The sequence below is a fragment of the Homo sapiens genome, chromosome 19 (genome assembly GCF_000001405.40).
Source record: "Homo sapiens chromosome 19, GRCh38.p14 Primary Assembly".
Taxonomy (NCBI): domain Eukaryota; kingdom Metazoa; phylum Chordata; class Mammalia; order Primates; family Hominidae; genus Homo; species Homo sapiens.
In genome coordinates, this window is record NC_000019.10 from 3,957,532 (window position 1) to 3,975,379 (window position 17,848).

At 56.9% G+C, this 17,848-nt stretch overlaps 1 protein-coding gene and 1 non-coding gene across 3 annotated transcripts, besides 4 other annotated features; both read right to left on the bottom strand.

The window, feature by feature from the left end:
* Nucleotides 1-921: 921 nt before the first annotated feature.
* DAPK3 (death associated protein kinase 3) lies at nucleotides 922-13,568 on the bottom strand. Of its 2 annotated transcripts, none has more exons than NM_001375658.1 (9): nucleotides 13,491-13,568; nucleotides 12,143-12,298; nucleotides 7,100-7,460; nucleotides 6,713-6,842; nucleotides 6,340-6,388; nucleotides 6,112-6,138; nucleotides 3,478-3,630; nucleotides 2,528-2,573; nucleotides 922-2,106 (listed from the first exon to the last, which is right to left on the bottom strand). In NM_001375658.1, the coding sequence occupies exons 2-9, from the start codon at nucleotides 12,202-12,204 to the stop codon at nucleotides 1,570-1,572; spliced, it is 1,365 nt and encodes a 454-aa protein (NP_001362587.1). In that variant the 5' UTR covers nucleotides 12,205-12,298; nucleotides 13,491-13,568; the 3' UTR covers nucleotides 922-1,569. The 2 variants fall into 2 exon arrangements, with proteins under 2 accessions (NP_001362587.1, NP_001339.1); NM_001348.3 differs by having other exon boundaries at nucleotides 13,390-13,568.
* Nucleotides 3,883-3,981, bottom strand: MIR637 (microRNA 637). Its single transcript, NR_030367.1, has one exon. It is a non-coding gene; the product is annotated as a microRNA 637 (primary transcript).
* Nucleotides 11,990-12,619: an enhancer, noted in NCBI's record as "H3K27ac hESC enhancer chr19:3969519-3970148 (GRCh37/hg19 assembly coordinates)". NCBI's record gives its function as "activates a minimal SCP1, AML or CMV promoter by ChIP-STARR-seq in primed H9 embryonic stem cells {active_cell/tissue: H9 hESC(primed)}" and the evidence as "EXISTENCE:reporter gene assay evidence [ECO:0000049][PMID:30033119]".
* Nucleotides 12,140-12,434: a silencer, noted in NCBI's record as "tiled region #11828; K562 Repressive DNase matched - State 1:Tss". NCBI's record gives its function as "represses a minimal TATA promoter and a strong SV40 promoter by Sharpr-MPRA in K562 cells {active_cell/tissue: K562}" and the evidence as "EXISTENCE:reporter gene assay evidence [ECO:0000049][PMID:27701403]".
* Nucleotides 12,620-13,251: an enhancer, noted in NCBI's record as "NANOG-H3K27ac-H3K4me1 hESC enhancer chr19:3970149-3970780 (GRCh37/hg19 assembly coordinates)". NCBI's record gives its function as "activates a minimal SCP1, AML or CMV promoter by ChIP-STARR-seq in naive H9 embryonic stem cells {active_cell/tissue: H9 hESC(naive)}" and the evidence as "EXISTENCE:reporter gene assay evidence [ECO:0000049][PMID:30033119]".
* Nucleotides 13,423-13,552: a silencer, noted in NCBI's record as "silent region_9864". NCBI's record gives its function as "represses an Ori minimal core promoter by ATAC-STARR-seq in GM12878 lymphoblastoid cells {active_cell/tissue: GM12878}" and the evidence as "EXISTENCE:reporter gene assay evidence [ECO:0000049][PMID:35858748]".

Below are 17,848 nucleotides of genomic sequence, written 5' to 3' on the forward strand. Positions count from 1 at the left end.
AATACAAAAATTACGGCCAGGCATGGTGGCTCACGCCTGTAATCCCAGCACTTTGGGAGGCTGAGGCGGGCGGATCACCTGAGGTCGGGAGTTCATGACTAGCCTGACCAACATGGTGAAACCCTGCCTCTACTAAAAATACAAAATTAGCCCGGTGTGGTGGTACATGCCTGTAAACCCAGCTACTCGCGAGGTTGGGGCAGAAGAATCGCTTGAACATGGGAGACGGAGGTTGCGGTGAGCCAAGACCACACCACTGCACTCCAGCCTGGGCAACAAGAGCAAAACTCCACCTCAAAAAAAAAAAAAAAAAAATTAGCCACGTGTGGTGGTGTATGCCTGTAATCCCAGACACCTGGGAGGCTGAGACAGGAGACCCGCTTGAGTCCAGGAGACCGAGGTTACAGTGAGCCAAGATCGCACCACTGCACTCCAGCCTGGGCAACAGGGCCAGACTCGCTCTCAAAAAAAAAAAAAAAAAAAAAAGCAAAAAAACTTCCTCCAGGGAGGATGGACAGGGTCGGGGCCCCTCTCTGAAACCACCTGTGAGCCCTAGCAGCTGAGCTGAGCCGCTCCCCCTCCAGGGCCACCTGCATGTGGCTCCAGACGGGGCAGGGGCTCCCACGTGGGACACAGCAGCATCCCGTAAGGCGCAAAGGGACAGGAAACGCTTCTGATCCACCTCAGCTGCCCAGAGCTTCCACCTCATTGCAATCAAAACACTCGGGGCAGCTGAGACCAAGATCCGGCAGCTCCCAGGACACCGTGAAGGTCTGCGAGGACCCCCGGTTTGTCCCCTCCTTCCTGAGCACAGCGGCAGGCATGGAACACAGAGAGAAACATGAACGCCGCGGAGGGCATATCCCCAGTGGCCAAGGGCTGGCTGTCCCCTGCCAAGGCCTGAGGCACACAACACCCGCGTATCTGGAAGCCAGTATTTTATTTCTCTTGGCTGCAGAGGGCCGCTCTTGCCTAGGCGTCCACAGGCGCGACGATGGGGCTCGCGGAGGAGTCCGCAGCAGGGCACCCCACACCCGGGGGACCGGCCTCGGCGAGAAGGGCACACAGTGGAAGACCCCACCAAGCCCGGCGCCACCCAGCAGCGTGGGGACTGCCTGTCCGCCGTCCATCCCACCCTCCCCGTCCCACGACCTCCTCCTGGGCTAATGGCAGCAACAGGCAGCACCCCGCCGAATTGTCCGTGCAACTACCCGCAAACCCTCCTCCGGGCCTGAACCAGGGCTGCATTCGGGCCGCCTCTGCGCCTCGGTGGGTCCCAACCCTCACGGTGCCACAGGCCACGCTGCCTGGAGGGTCCCAGGGTCACCGACGATGCAGGGGTGAAGGTGAAGGCCAGCGTGGAGGCTGTGTAGAGAAGCAGCCCCGTCCCACACCCACCCCTGCCTGCGAACTTACGGGCCTGGCTCCAGCTCCTCCCACTCCGCCTCCAGCCTGGTGGCGCTGGGCAAGGACAGGCACCCGGGCGATGGGAGGCGCAGCGTCCACAGGAAGCGCCCCCACCGCAGGCCGAGCTCCGGCTGTCCTGGGGCCTGGCCCACCCCACTGCGCCTAGCGCAGCCCGCACTCCACGCCCTGCAGCTTCTCCTGCTCCAGGGCGCGCACGAGGTCCTGCACGAAGCGCATCTCGGAGGCTACTTGCTTGGCCAGCGCCTCGTAGCGGTTCTCCAGGCGGCTGAAGCGGCGCTTGAGGCCGCTGGTCCCCAGCAGCGCGCCCTTGGCCTCCTCCTGCGCCTGCCGCTTGAGCGCCTCGGTCTTGAGCAGCTCCTGCCGTAGCCTCCGCAGGTCCTGGCCCAGGCTGTCGCTCTCCTCGCGGTACCAGGCCTCCTTCTCCTCGTAGATGGCGGCCAGCGCCTCCACGTCCTCGTGGCAGAGCCGCCGGCTGCGCTGCAGCTCGCGCAGGCCCTCCTCGGCGGCCGCCGCCTCCTCCAGCACCTTGGAGAAGCGCTCGAAGTCGGCGTAGCTGTTGTTGGGCGGCAAGCTGGAGTGCGACTTGATGGTGTACTCCTTCAGACGCGTGGTCTTCAGGCGCCGCCGCTCGGGCTTGCGGCCGCTGTCCTCACCACGCACGTTCCGCCGCCGGATCGCCTAGGAAGGAGGGAAGCCTGAGCGGGGTCCCCGCGATGCCACCCAGCCCCGCCAGCCCCCACCTGCCAGTGTGAACTGAGGTTCAGGGGCTCATCCGGCAGCAGAGTCAACGCCTCGTGACGGAGACTGCCCAGCCCGACGCAAAGCCGAGAGTGCTCTCTCGAGAAAAACGCTGCGGCCCTGGCCCCAGGAGTCAGCCCCGTTGGACACACACCAGCCAAGGATGCCACCAGGTCTGTCGGGTGCTGGACATCCCACGCCCAGGACCCAACCCCCGCCACACAGGCTCACTCCTCTGGGGACCCTCCCCAGCCACTGGGGGTTGTCACATCCACAAGCCTTAAATGCTGAAGGCCCCCCGGGACCCCAGCGAGAAGGCCAAGGCGGGAAGCCCAGGGAGCTCCCCCACCTCCCCACTTACCTTAATCCAGGAATGTTCCAGGCTCTGGGCAATGGTCATTCTCCGCCTGGAAGACCCCCGCTCTGGTTAGGTACACCTGCACCATCTGTCCCGTCCTCCCGTGAACAACTGACTCCCGGGACCCCCAAAAGCCCTAAAGTCGCCCCCCAGCCTCTGCTCAGCCAACCACAGAAGCTGAACAAGGGTACTGCAGGGAGCGTGGGGTTTTCTGGGGGGTGGTGGAGAGAGCTGAGACCTCAGGCTGGAGTCGCAAACCCAGGCGCCCGAGAGAGGGACTGGGCGGCCATGGAGGCCCGGGGAGGCCTACGAGTGAGGGCTCAGCACTGCCAGAATTCTAAGTGTTTACAGGAAAACAAGTGACCTGGAATTTTACATGGATCCTTACTTTACACACCGGCAACTAATTAAAAGTTTGCTAAAAACACAGCAAGCAGCCAGACACGGTGTCTCACGCCCGCAATCCCAGCACTTTGGGAGACCAAGGCAGGCAAATCACAAACCAAGGAGGTCAGGAGTTCAAGACAAGCCTGGGCAACATGGTGAAGCCCTGTCTCTACTAAAAATACAAAAATTAGCCAGGCGTGGTGGCGGGCGTCTATAATCCCAGCTACTTGGGAGGCTAACGCAGGAGAATAGCCTGAACCCGGGAGGCAGAGGCTGCAGTGAGCCGAGATCACGCCACTGCACTGCACTCCAGCCTGGGAGACAGAGCAAGACTCCGTCTCAAAAAAAAAGACTCCGTCTCAAAAAAAAAAAAAAAAAAAAACCATGGCAATGGCCAGCTTGGGCCACCAGTTTATCAGTTTACTCTCTCCAGCCCAAGGGGTAAGCAATGTCTGATCCCCAGCCGCAGGGAGGTGGCGCTGGGAGGAGAGTCCTCTGGAGCCTCCGTGGGTGGAGTGGGCCTGTGTCCCATGTCCCACCCCGTGCCCCCTGCCGGCCCCTCGTACTTGGGATCTTTGACGAGCAGCCGGCGAATGAAGTCCTTGGCCAGCTCGCTGGTGTTGCTGAAGTACTCCTCGTCGAAGTCGTAGTTCACGGCTGAGATGTTGGTGAGCGTCTCCTGCTTGGTCTCGCCCAGGAACGGGGATGCACCGCTCAGGCTGCGAGACAGGCGTGGGGGCTCAGTGGGGTCCTGGGCTCCCACCACGGCCGCGCCGCCTCTCCGGCTGCCCACGACAGGCGGAGCACAGAAGACAGGCTGACGGCAGGTGCCTGGGCCACTCACACTCCTGAGCCCTTAGAACCTTCCTGCAACGATCCCAGACACCACCCAAGAGGCATTCAAAATCCACCCCCCCACCCCGCCACTGACAGCAGCAGAAATGAACAGGCAGAAGTCTCCTTGGAGACTCGAAGTATCTGTGCAGACGCAGAGCCCGAAAGCCCCCAGTGCTCAGTAACGCCGAGGGGAGGGTAACTGCAGTGGGGAGCCCGAGCCAACACCTTAGCCAAAGGATCAAGGTCAACAGCCCGGCAGTGAGAGGCCCCAACAGCGTCTGCCTCCCAGCCTGACGCTGGGAGGGTGACACAGCATCATCCCTGGGGTTTTGAGCAGAGACACTGAAGCCCCGTCTGATCGTCTGATCGTGACAGCGCACGAGACTAAACGTGGACTCAGACGCCTTCTGCAAAACACCTGACCCGTGAGCACAAGTCAGGGTCAAGGTCATGAAAGCCAGACAGAGGAACAGCCTCAGACTGGAGGCGGCGAAGGAGCTGAATGGCTAAATGCCGTGTGGGGACCTCAGAGAGGACAGGAGTGGAAAACGGGGGTGTCTAACCACCTCTGGCACTTTAAATTTTTTAAATTTTTTAGAGACGGAGTCTCGCTCTGTCACCCAGGCTGGAGTGCAGTAGCGCGATCTCGGCTCACTGCAAACTCCATCTCCTGGGTTCATGCCATTCTCCTGCCTCAGCCTCCTGAGTAGCTGGGACTACAGGCACCCGCTGCCACACCCAGCTAATTTTTGTATTTTTAGTAGAGACATGGTTTCATCGTGTTAGCCAGGATGGTCTCAATGCCCTGACCTCGTGATCTGCCCTCCTCAGCCTCCCAAAGTGCTGAGATTACAGGCGTGAGCCATCGCACCCGGCCCATCTAGCACTTTTGTGATTAGCGTAGCACCAAGGCTAACGTCTTGGTGTTCATAACGTTCGTGTTCATGAAAAATGTAAACTGAAGGAGGAGGAAGCTGCAGGGGGCGTCTGTGCTGTTTCTGTTGCTCCTTTGTAAGTCTGAATTATCTGAACATTTAAAAAGAATACAAACGGTCTAGCCCATCTCCTGAAGCCTTTGGGTCCGCTCACGCACTACAGCGGGCTGGGCCCACGCCATTGTTTATTTCCTTGCTTACTGAATGAGCTATGCCCATTCAATATGGCTGGGCAACACAGTGAAACTCCACCTCTACAAAAACTTTTAAAAATTAGCCAGCTGGGCACGGTGGCTCACACCTGTCATCCCAGCATTCTGGGAGGCCAAGGCGGCCGGATCACTTGAGGTCTGGAGTTCAAGACCAGCCTGACCGAAATGGTGAAACATCGTCTCTACTAAAAATACAAATAATTAGCCAGGCATGGTGGCAGGCACCTGTAATCCCAGCTACTTGGGAGGCTGAGGCATGGGAATCACTTGAACCCGGGAGGCAGAGGTTGCAGTAAGCCTGAGCTGAGACGGGGCCTTGGCACTTCATCCAGCCTGGGCAACAAGAGCGAAACTCTGTCTCAAAAAAAAAAAAAAAAAAAAAAAAATTAGCCAGCTGGGTGCAGCGGCCCACGCCTGTAATCCCAGCACTTTGGGAAGCCGAGGCAGGCAGATCACCTGAGGTCAGGAGTTCAAAACCAGCCTTGATCAACATGGTGAAACCCCGTCTCTTCTAAAAATACAAAAATTAGCTGGGCATGGTGGTGGGCGCCTGTAATCCCAGCTACTCAGGAGACTGAGGCAGGAGAATCGCTTGAACCTGGGAGGTGGGGGTTGCAGTGAGCAGCTGAGATCGCACCACTGCACTCCAACCTGGACAACAAGAGCAAAACTCCATCAAAAAAAAAAAAAAGTCCGAGCATGGGAGCATGGTTGTGTGCACATGTAGTCCCAGGTACTCAGGAGGCTGAGGTGGGAGGATTGCTTAAGTCTGGGAGGTGGAGGCTGCAGTGAGCTAGGACAGCACTCCAGCCTGGGCAAGAGAGTAAGACCCCGTCTCAACAAATAAAAATAATAAACAACAGCAGGCCCACGTGTGGCCCAGGGACAGGAGCCAAAACCCAGCGTGGGGTCGGACCCCTTCCTTGCACTTCGAGAGGAGGCTGGGCTCCCTAGCAGCCAGAGGGACAGGAGCACACACGACCCCCAACCCGGAGCCTGCTCAGCCGCTCTGTGAGTGTCCTGCCTTCAGAACTCTCCAGAAGCCTCTGTGACAGCAGCCACAGAGAATCACTCATCCGTTCACCCGGTATCCCCTGAGTACCCGCGATGGGTCACAGCCAGGCTGGGGACCCCTGGCGTCCACATGAGACACACGGAGCCGGGGACCCATGCCAGCTGTGTTGCACAGCCGAGGGGGCCCCCGCCAGGTACTCACAGGATATAGGTGATGACACCGATGCTCCTGGGGACAGACAAGAGGCAAGGGTCAGCGCAGCGTGGGGCCGCCCACCCTCCCAGGACCGTGGCGTCCAGCGCCCCTGTTCTAGGGCAACGGTCCCCCCATACCCCAACAGCAGCAAGGCCCCGCTTCATCCCCAGCTGCAGCACTGGCCTGCGCTCCAGGAATGCAGGGAGGCCCGGTGGGAGCAGGTGGTACACTCACCACATGTCCGCCTCCAGGCCCAGCGGCTCATAGTTCACAATCTCTGGGGCTGCAGAACAGGGAGATGTGGGTCAGGCACTGGGGACATGCTGGCCAAGGAAGAGGCTCAAGACACAGGCATGGGGTCAAGGTTCTCACATGTCGCAGCCCTTGGGGGCATGAATGCGGCAGAGCTGGCCCTCAGGGCCTGACGGGTAGGACAGCGGGGCTGCACCAAATGGAGGCCCAGACCTCCCGCAAAGCCGGGCCCAAGAGGGGTGGCTTCAGGGCCGAGGACGCGGCACCCAGCACCGGGCATGACCCACCCCACGCACAGCAGGCAGCCCCAGACCACCCTCCCCAGGCCGGGGCTGCCCACTGGGCAGGGCCTCACCCACAAACTCCGGGGTGCCGAAGATGTTCTTGAACTCGTTCCCCGCCTCGATCTTGTGCGCGATGCCGAAGTCGATGAGCTTGATTCGTGGGTTGGGCACGTTCTTGTCCAGCAGCATGATGTTTTCCGGCTGGGGTGGGAGGAGGCTCAGCAGGGAAAGCACGGGCCTCCCCCACCCTCACCCCCACGCTCCCCAAACCTCACCCTCACGCTCCCCGCAACCTCACCCCCACGCTCCCCCAACCTCACCCCCACGCTCCCCAAACCTCACCCCCACGCTCCCCACACCTCACCCCCACGCGCAGGAGGTGCCTTCCAGGCTCTTCCCCGCCCCATCCCCACCCCCACACTGGCCAGGCCGGCCCCACAGGGCCCTACAGGGCTCACCTTCAGGTCAAAGTGTGCGATGCGCTTAGAGTGCAGGTAGTGAACGCCGTCCAGGATCTGCTTGAGGAACTGGGTGGCCTCGTCCTCCGTCAGCGACTCCTTCTCCGCCAGGAAGTCAAAGAGCTCCCCGCCAGAGACCAGCTCCAGGATGAGGACCACGTCCGTCTTGTTCTCGAAGATGTCGTGCAGGGTGATGATGTTGGGGTGCCGGATCTCCCGCAGGATGTTCACCTCCCGCTCGATCTCCTCCCGGCTCACCCCACGCCGGCTGGATGACAGGCGGCGCTTCTTGATGAACTTGGCTGCGTACTCCTTGCCCGTGCCCTTCTGCCGGCACTTCCGCACGATCGCAAACTGGCCGCTGGAGGAGGGGGAGGGAGTGAGTGGGGGTGGAGGAGGCGGAGGGAGTAAGTGGGGGTGGCTGGCTCCCCGTCACCTCCACTTGCTCCTCTTGGGCGCGGCCCTGCACCAGGCACTTGAAGGACATGAGCTGGCCACTGCGGGGGTGCAGACTCTGCGCCTTCTCAGAGAGCAATTCCTTAGCGCCCCACACCATCAGACGCGGCGTTCCCACCCCTCCCAGGGCTATGCCCAGCAGGTGTGTGGAGGGGAGTGCAGAGCCACACGTTAACACCATGGCACCGGCGTATTTTTGAAAAGTGAAAGAATGAACAGTTCAATGCATATCAAGAGGGAACTGAGGGGGCCAGGCGCGGTGGCTCACGCCTGTAATCCCAGCACTTTGGGAGTTCGAGGAGGGCAGATAACTTGAGCTGAGGAGTTCAAGAGCAGCCTGGCCAACATGGTGAAACCCTGTCTCTACCAAAAATACAAAAAATTAGCTGGGTGTGGTGGCGGGTGCCTGTAATCCCAGCTACTTGGGAGGCTGAGGCAGGAGAATCGCTTGAACCTGGGAGGCAGAGGTTGCAGTGAACTGAGATTGTGCCACTGTACTCCAGCCTGGGCAACGTAGCAAGATCCTGCCTCAAAAAAATAAAAAGTGCAAGGCAAGTGCCAGATCCGCTTTTTTTGTTTTTGTTTTGTTTTGTCTTGAGACAGGGTCTGGCCCTGTTGCTCAGGCTGGAATGCAGTGGTTCAGTCATGGCTCACTGCAGCCTTGACCTCCTGGGCTCGGGCAATCCTCCTGCCTCAGCCTCTCAAGCAGCTGGGACTACAGGCACATACCACCACACCCAATTAATTTTTTTTTCTTTTTGTAAGGATGAGGTCTCACTATGTTGCCCACGCTGGTCTCGAACTCCTGGGCTCAAGTGATCCCTCCCAAGTAGGTGGGACTACAGGAACACACTACCACACCTGATTTATTTATTTTTTGTAGAGACAGGGTCTTGCCGTATTGCCCAGGCTGCTTTGGAACTCCTGGCCTCAAGAGATCCTCCCACTCCCCCACCCCAAGTGTTGGCAGTACAGGTGGAGCCGCTACATCTGGCCAGTATCCGCATTTTAAAGAAACCAAGGCTGAGAAAAGGAAAGCAACTAGCCCAAGGTCATGCAGTCAGTCAGTGGCGGGAGGATTCAAACCTTCAAACCAGGTGCTGCAGGCTCCAGAGCCCAGGTGCTCTAACAGGAAGCAGACAGCTGCTGCTGGGTACCGGGTTCCTGCGTGCCTACCTCCCGGCTCCACGCTGTCTCCTGCTAACAGACCCAGCTGTCCCAGGGCAGCCTTTGCCGCTCACTCTCAGTCTGTGGGACTCAGTGGCCCAGGAAAGGGGTGGAAGGGGACACGACTGGACCTGGGCAAGCAGAAAACCACGCCTTCCAGCCCAAAGAGACCGGTCCAGTCCACAGGGCTCTGAACGCCTGCTGGGAAGAGAGGATCTCTCTCTCCCTCTGCTGGGCTTGGATCCAGGCTCGCGGCAGGGGCCACCACGTAGAAGGCTACCTAAGAAGCCTGCCTAAGAACAGACCAGGCCAGGAGAGGGGAGCCACCAGGCACTGCGGGTGGCACATAAGCCCCGTCATTCACTCTGCCAGGGCGCCTCCTCCATGCTGGAGTGGACTTCGGCCCCGGGGACACAGGGCACCATATGCACCAGCACCCAGTCACACCTGCGGCCGCTGCACACCTGGACAACCTGGTTCTGTAAACCACGCCTTTCCCTGTTTTGCTATTGCCAACCAGATTTCAGGTTCTGCCACTGAGTCCTCCTACAGCAACAGCAGACCACAGCCGCCCACCTCCAGACAGCCCCCGGTCTCACTGGCCACAGACTTGCTCCTTAGAGGCAAGGCCACTGGCAGGCTCTCAGTTCCTCTACGGAATGTGAAACGTGCCTCATCTCCCCAGCCGGGAAAGAAACTCCCCAAGAGCTGAGCCCACCCTCTTCGCTTCTCTGTAACTTCCCCAGCCCCCAGCGCAGGTGGGGGCACAGCAAGCCCTCCTCAGTGATGGTCTCAGGTGTCACTCCCAACCCACTTCCTAAGTGCCTGCCACAACCCAGACACGACCCAAGCGTGGCCTACACACCGACAATTTCTACTGATAGAGTTCATGATGTTTAAAAATGCGGGCTGGGAAGCCGGGCACAGTGGCTCACGCCTGTAATCCCAGCACTTTGGGAGGCAAAAGCGTGCAGATCACGATGTCAGGAGTTCAAGACTAGCCTGACCAACATAGTGAAAGCCACGTCTCTACTAAAAATACAAAAACATTAGCCGGGCGTGCTGGCAGGCATCTATAATCCCAGCTACTCGGGAGGCTGAGGCAAGGAGAATCGCTTGAACCTGGGAGACGGAGGTTGCAGTGAGCTGAGATTGCGGCATTGCACTCCAGCCCGGGCGACACTGCAAGACTCCGTCTCAAAAAAAAAGTGTGGGCTGGGGCCAGGCACAGTGGCTCACACCTGTAATCCCAGCACTTTGGGAGGCAGAGGCGGGCAGATCATTTGAGGTCAGGAGTTCAAGACCAGCCTGGCCAACATGGCAAAACCCCGTCTCTACTAAAAATACAAAAATTAGCTGAGCACGTTGGTGGGCGCCTGTAATTCCAGCTACTTGGAAGGCTGAAGCAGGAGAATCACTTGAACCCGGGAGGCGAAGATTGCAGTGAGCCAAGATGGCACCACTGCACTCCAGTCTCGGCAACAGAGCCAGACACCGTCTCAAACAAACAAACAAAAATTGCTACATTCTGGGCCTTCATCTTGCACTTCATGTATCTCTGAGAATGTTCCAGACCACTACCTGAAGCAGTGCCGTCAGAACAGCAGACACTGGCCACCCAGAGCTGTCAAACCCGTGAGGTGTGGCCAGTCCCGAGAAAAACTGCGACATGAAATACACACCAGACCTCCAAGGCTTCACGGCAAAAACAGAAGGCTAAATACTTTTTTTAAAATTATGAATTTCTGTTTGTTTGAGAGATGGGGGTCAACTTATGTTGCCCAGGCTAGTCTTGAAGTCCTGGGCTCAAGCGATCCTCCCGCCTTGGCCTCCCAAAGCGCTAGAATTACAGGCGGAAGCCGCCGCACCTGGCCCTGCCTGGTTCTTTTTACAAGCTGCATCCTATTCCAGCCCTGATGCAGTGGTTTGGGGAAGGCCATTTAAGAGGCTGCTGTTCCCAGCGGGGTGCGGTGGCTCACGCCTGTGATCCCAGCACTTTGGGAGGCCGAGGCAGGTGAATCACCTGAGGTCAGTAGTTCGAGACCAGCCTGGCCAACATGGTGAAATCCTGTCTCTACTAAAAATACAAAAATTAGCCAGGGGTGGTGGCGGGCTCCTGTAATCCCAGCTACTCGGGAGGCTAGGCTGGAGGCCGAGGCTGCAATGAGTCGAGATCGCATCACTGCACTCCAGCCTGGGCGACAGAATGAGATAGTGTCAAGGAAAAAAAAAAAAGGCTGTTATTCTGGTAAACGTTCTAGCAACTACCCCAGTCTTAAGTCATTCCATCCATGTATGTACAGTTTTCCAATGAATTAATTCCTAGAGGTGAAATCGGCGAGTTAAAAGAAATTTGGCTGAATTTTGCTGACTTTTGCCAAACGACCCCTAGCAGGAGGGGTCAACACTGAAGCATGAGAAGGGGGAGGAGGGAGCATGCTTTCTCTGCCACTAACGAGGAAATTCCTGAAGGAGGGACCTCAGGATCCCAAAAGAGCCTGCAGCACTCTCCCTAGCCTGACACAGAGCTCACTTATTTACATTCCCTTCTGGTGACATCATGGGGAGGCTCCAGGGAGGCTGGCCAGTAGCAAACTCACCAAATAAGGCTGGAGGCTCTACAAAAGGAGGCAGGGCCTAGTGGTGCCTGGCTAGTCTGGAGGGGGTGGGGCCCCAGGGGGACCCTCCAAGGCCCAGACAGGCAGGAAATCAGCTGCCTCCCTGGAAGAGGAAACCTCTGCTTTTTCCCACAAGCATGTTAAACAATTGACCGAGGTTTGGGCCCAGCTGGGAGACACGCCCCTCCCTCCCCCCACTTTAAACATCCAAGAGCTGGGCAAAAAAACTAAAGTGCCTCCCACAAAAGAGGATTAACACAGGGAGATTTTTTTTTTTTTAAATAAATGGGGTTTCACTCTGTTGCCCAGGCTACAGTGCAGTGGCACGATCATAGCTCACTGCAGCCTCCTCCAACTCCTGGGCTCAAGCCATCCTCCCGTCTCAGCTTCCCTAGTAGCTGGGACTACAGGCATGAGCTACCACACCTGGTTAATTTTTTTTCATTTTTATTTTTTGTAGGGATGGAGTCTTGCTATGTTGCCCAGGCAGAAGACACATCTTTTAATAACAAAAGCAGCTGGCATCTGTTGCTCTGGTGCCCCATGCCAGGCACGGTCTTGGCTGCTGTAACGGCTCAATTACTTTTCTCCCCACAGGAAACACACAGAGGATTCCCAAGCAGGAATTCACAGCCGGGGCTGTCTGACTCCACGGCCCAAATTCGTTCCCCCACCGCATGATACTGACTCATTCCTTCTCAGCATACAGGATAAAGAACAGGAAAGGAGAGCTGCTGTTCAGAAAACCCCACAGCGCCTCTCTCCTATCCCTGGAGCCCAGCCGTGCGGGCAGACAGCTCACCTGCCCAGCTCCTCCCCCATCTCATAATGGTCCTCCACGTCCTCCTGCCTGAACGTGGACATGGCGGCCGGTCCGCCTTCCAGCAGCTTCCACTCCAGGGAAAGTGCAGTCACCGCAGCCTGGAGATAGGACCTCAGGAGTCCCCTAATGGCAACCCTGGAGAAGACAGGGAAAGACAGAAGTGAGGAACTGAGACACCACCCTTTTCTCCTAGATTAATGGACAGACCTGTCCAGCAAACACAAGCCTCCCACCTCTCCACTCTGAAGCTCCAAACTCGACAAAAAGAGGTGCTGTGTTTACTGGGCTGGGTCCTGTCATGTCACCTCTTAGAGCCCCATAACCACTCAAAAGTTTGGTAACAGCCCCACTGGGCCACCTTCACCCCGCAAAACTCTCTCCAGACACATAATTCTGATTTCCCCGACGCTGCCTGCGTCTTTTTTTGCCTCTCACTCCTAGACTTCTCTCAACCTGCTCAGCCAAAATCCCCCACCATTCCTGCACGTTCTCCTCAACCTCAAATCCCAGGGCTACCTTACTCCCTGGCCAATGTCTTAACGAAGTTCTCAAGTCTACTTCTTTTGTTGTTGGTGTTGTTGTTTTTTGAGAAGGAGTCTCGCTCTGTCGCCCTGGCTGGAGTGCAGTGGTGCAATCATGGCTCACTGCAGCCTGGAACTCCAAGGCTCAAGCGATCGTCCCAGGCCTCCCAAAGTGCTGCCATTCCGATCAAAATTCCCAAGTTACTACCTTAACCCCTCCTGGTCCTTGCCCTCGGCAGGTCTCTTAAGACCCTCATCGATGGAACACCCCCGCCCACCCCCAACCATCTCTGACTCCCTCCAATTCTGAATTTTCCAAGAACCGGACGACGCCTTCCACGCTCCTGAAAGCCCACTTTGCCTCCCTCCCCCGCTGACCTCCACTGTCCTCGCAAGATTAACCTCTTCCTCCACGCTCCATGTATCAAAGTCCCCCAACCGCCGTCTCCCCTACCCCCCAAAACGGGCCGCCAAAAAGGGCCCCATCTGAGTCTCCTCCACCGTCCTCTGCCCCTTCTCGCCCGCAATCTCCGCACAAGCCCCTAGGCAGACCCCAGTGGCTCCCTTTGCAGAACCTCCCCCCGCCCCCAAGGCCTTGCCCATCCCTAAGGCTCCGCTCCAGCATCCCTGGGGCCGCTACGCCCCTCGCACGCCCGGCCGAGCCCTTTCCCCGGCCCGGTCACCCAGATGGGTCCCCAAACCTACCAGCTCCTCAGATTCTCTCCCTCCCTCGTCCTCCGCGGGCCCCCGAAGCGCCGCTCTGGCCCCACCCAGCCCTCCAGCCTCGGCCCGAGCCCGCTCTTTACCCTCCGCAGCCCGGAGAATACGGCCGGCGCCGCCGCGCTGGCCACCGCCGCCGCCTCCAGAAGCCCCGCGCCCCTGCCGCCGCGACGCGCCTGCGCCGACGTCACCGCACCCGCCAGTGCCCACCCCCGGGAAACGAACCCCGCCGCCTATTGGCCGGTGCGCCCGCCGCTCGTGCCGCACCTCGACGTCCCGCCCCCAGCTGCCTTTTCGGCACCCACACCCGGATGCAGCCTCACCACTGGCTGAACACTCGCCATCCCTGATTTCATTGGCTGCAGTCGACGCTGGTCAAGCGGACGGAAAAAAGGCCGACTTCCGGTCCCTTCATCGCCCCGCCCGCCTCTCCTCTGACCCAGGTGCTGAAGCTGCGAGAAGTGAGGCTGAAGCCCTGCATCCCGCTTCCTGCCTTCCTGGAGCACCGGTTGGGCGAATGGATGGCTCACCTGTGGCCGAGCGCGCCTGGCAGCTCCTGGAGTGGACCCTGGGACTGCTTTAGTCCCTATGTGGCAGTTTCCTCCACTGAAAACTGTTACCCACATTCTAAATACTTAAAATGCAAATGAGGTCAATCTGGGGTTGTCATACACAGGGTCCCTCTTCGTCTCAAAATAGAGGGTAACAGCAAGCATTTTATTGAGACATAGTATGTGCCAACTGACAACACTGGGAGGTATCAGGTTTGTTTTTTTTTTAATTTTATTTTTTGAGACAGGGTCTCACTCTGTCACCCAGGCAGGAGTGCAGCGGCGGTATCCAGCTCACTGCAACCTCCACCTCCCGGGTTCAAACGATTCTCGTGCCTCAGCCTCCCAAGTAGCTGGGATTACAGGTGCCCATCACCACGCCCGGCTAATTTTTGTATTTTTAGTAGAGACGGGGTTTCACCATGTTGCCCAGGCTGGTCTCGAACTCCTAAGCTCAGGTGATCCGGCACCTCAGCTTTCCAAAGTGCTGAGATTACAGGCGTGAGCCATTGCGCCCGGCCTAAATTCATTTTTTATTATTATTTTGAGACGGAGTCTCGCTCTGTCACCCAGGCTGGAGTACACTGGCACAATCTCGGCTCACTGCAAGCTCCACCTCCCAGGTTCACGCCATTCTCCTGCCTCAGCCTCCCGAATAGCTGGGACTACAGGCGCCCGTCACCACGCCCAGCTAATTTTTTGTATTTATTAGTAGAGACAGGGTTTCACCGTGTTAGCCAGGATGGTCTCGATCTCCTGACCTCCTGATCCGCCCGCCTCGGCCTCCCAAAGTGCAGGAATTACAGGCATGAGCCACCTTGCCCAGCCTTTTTTTTTTTTTTTTTTTTTTTTTGAGACAGTCTCCTTCTATCGTCCAGGCTGGAACGCAGTGGTGAGATCTGGGCTCACTGCAATCTCTGCCTCCTGGGTTCAAGCGATTCTCCTGCCTCAGCCTCCCGAGTAGCTGGGACTACAGGTGCACGCCACCACTCCCAGCTGATTTTTGTATTTTTAGTAGACGCAGGGTTTCACCATGTTGGCCAGGATGGTCTCAATATCTGTGATCCGCCGGCCTCGGCCTCTCAAAGTGCTGCGATTACAGACGTGAGCCACAAGCCGGCCTTTATATTTTTTATTTACATTTTCAACGTACAATGGGTTGGCCAGGTGTGGTGGCTCACGCCCGTAATCCCAACAGCTTGGGCAGCCAAGGCGGGCAGGTCACTTGAAGTAGGAGTTCAAGACCAGCCTGCTCAACATGGTGAAACCCTGTCTCTACTAAAAATACAAAAGTTAGCCAGGCCTGGTGGCACATGCCTGTAATCCCAGCTACTCGGGAGGCTAGCGCAGGAGAATTGCTTGAACCCAGGAGGTGGAGGTTGCAGCGAGCCGAGATCATGCCACTATACTACAGCCTGGGTGACGGAGGGAGACTCCATCTCAAAGAAAAAAAAGTGGCAGGGCATGGTGGCTAACGCCTGTAATTCCAGCATTTTGGGAGGCCACGGTGGGCAGATCACGAAGTCAGGACATCAAGACCATCCTGGCTAACACGGTGAAACCCTGTCTCTACTAATAAATACAAAAAATTAGCCGGGCATGGTGGCGGGTGCCTGTAGTCCCGGCTACTCGGGAGGCTGAGGCAGGAGAATGGCGTGAACCCGGGAGGCGGAGCTTGCAGTGAGCCAAGATTGAGCCACTGCACTCCAGCCTGGGTGACAGAGCAAAGACTGTCTCAAAAAAAAAAAAAAATTCAGCTTCCACATACCATCTTAACGTTTGCACTACTAAAAAAGAATAGGACCCGGTATGGTGGCTCACACCTGTAACCCCAGCACTTTGGGAGGCTGAGGCGGGCTGATCTCTTACGGTCGAGCTTGAGACCAGCCTGGCCAACATGGTGAAACCCCATCTCACCTAAATATACAAAAATTACACAGACCTGGTGATAGGCGCCTGTAATTCCAGCTACTCGGGAGGCTGAAGCACAAGAATTGCTTGAGCACTTGAATCCGGAGGCAGAGGCTATAGTGAGCCAAGATCACAACACTGCACTCCATCCTGGGCGATAGAGTGAGATTCTCGAAACACAGTAATCCGTTACCCTGACTGCTGGAAACAGCGTCAGTTACAGCCCCAATTCAAATGCGACAGCCAAACCAAACCTCAGGCATACCTACATGTGGGCAAAACCTCAGCTGAGGCTTGGCCTTGACAATGCAGGGCCAGAGCTGCCCCCGCCTTTGCCGAGAACCCCACAGCCCTACTTCACAGTCCCCACCTGCCTTCCTGAGGACAGAGTAAAAGGCGGAAAATGATCATGTTAACCTTATCAGCACTGACAAGATTAGGCCTCCTCACATCTTAGGCACTATTTAGAAAAACAAATAGTTTTCTAAGCTATTGGCGCTCACACCTGAAATCCCAGCACTTTGGGAGGCTGAGGCAGAAGGATCGCTTGAGCCCGGGAAGGAGACCAGCCTGAGCAACATAGTGAGACCCCATTACTACAAAAAAAGTAAAAATTAGGTCAGCACAGTGGCTCACGCCTATAATTCCCAGCACTTTGGGAGGCCGAGGCGGGTGGATCACGAGGTCAGGAGATCGAGACTATCCTGGCTAACACGGTGAAACCCTGTCTCTACTAATAAATACAAAAAATTAGCCGGGCATGGTGGCGGGCGCCTGTAGTCCCGGCTACTCGGGAGGCTGAGGCAGGAGAATGGCGTGAACCCGGGAGGCGGAGCTTGCAGTGAGCCAAGATTGAGCCACTGCACTCCAGCCTGGGTGACAGAGCAAAGACTGTCTCAAAAAAAAAAAAAAATTCAGCTTCCACATACCATCTTAACGTTTGCACTACTAAAAAAGAATAGGACCCGGTATGGTGGCTCACACCTGTAACCCCAGCACTTTGGGAGGCTGAGGCGGGCTGATCTCTTACGGTCGAGCTTGAGACCAGCCTGGCCAACATGGTGAAACCCCATCTCACCTAAATATACAAAAATTACACAGACCTGGTGATAGGCGCCTGTAATTCCAGCTACTCGGGAGGCTGAAGCACAAGAATTGCTTGAGCACTTGAATCCGGAGGCAGAGGCTATAGTGAGCCAAGATCACAACACTGCACTCCATCCTGGGCGATAGAGTGAGATTCTCGAAACACAGTAATCCGTTACCCTGACTGCTGGAAACAGCGTCAGTTACAGCCCCAATTCAAATGCGACAGCCAAACCAAACCTCAGGCATACCTACATGTGGGCAAAACCTCAGCTGAGGCTTGGCCTTGACAATGCAGGGCCAGAGCTGCCCCCGCCTTTGCCGAGAACCCCACAGCCCTACTTCACAGTCCCCACCTGCCTTCCTGAGGACAGAGTAAAAGGCGGAAAATGATCATGTTAACCTTATCAGCACTGACAAGATTAGGCCTCCTCACATCTTAGGCACTATTTAGAAAAACAAATAGTTTTCTAAGCTATTGGCGCTCACACCTGAAATCCCAGCACTTTGGGAGGCTGAGGCAGAAGGATCGCTTGAGCCCGGGAAGGAGACCAGCCTGAGCAACATAGTGAGACCCCATTACTACAAAAAAAGTAAAAATTAGGTCAGCACAGTGGCTCACGCCTATAATTCCCAGCACTTTGGGAGGCCGAGGCGGGCAGATCACTTGAGGTCAGGAGTTCGAGACCAACCAGGCCAAGCAAAATTCTGTCTCAAAATAAATAAAAATTAGCTGGGCATGGTGGCACATGCCTGGAGTCCCAGCTACCTGGCAGGCTGAGGCAGGAGAGTCCAGGAGGTGGAGGATGCAGTGAGCTGACTGCACCACTATACTCATCTGGGAGACAGCAAGACTCTGCCTCTAAAAAAGTGTTTACAAGGCCGGGCACAGTGGT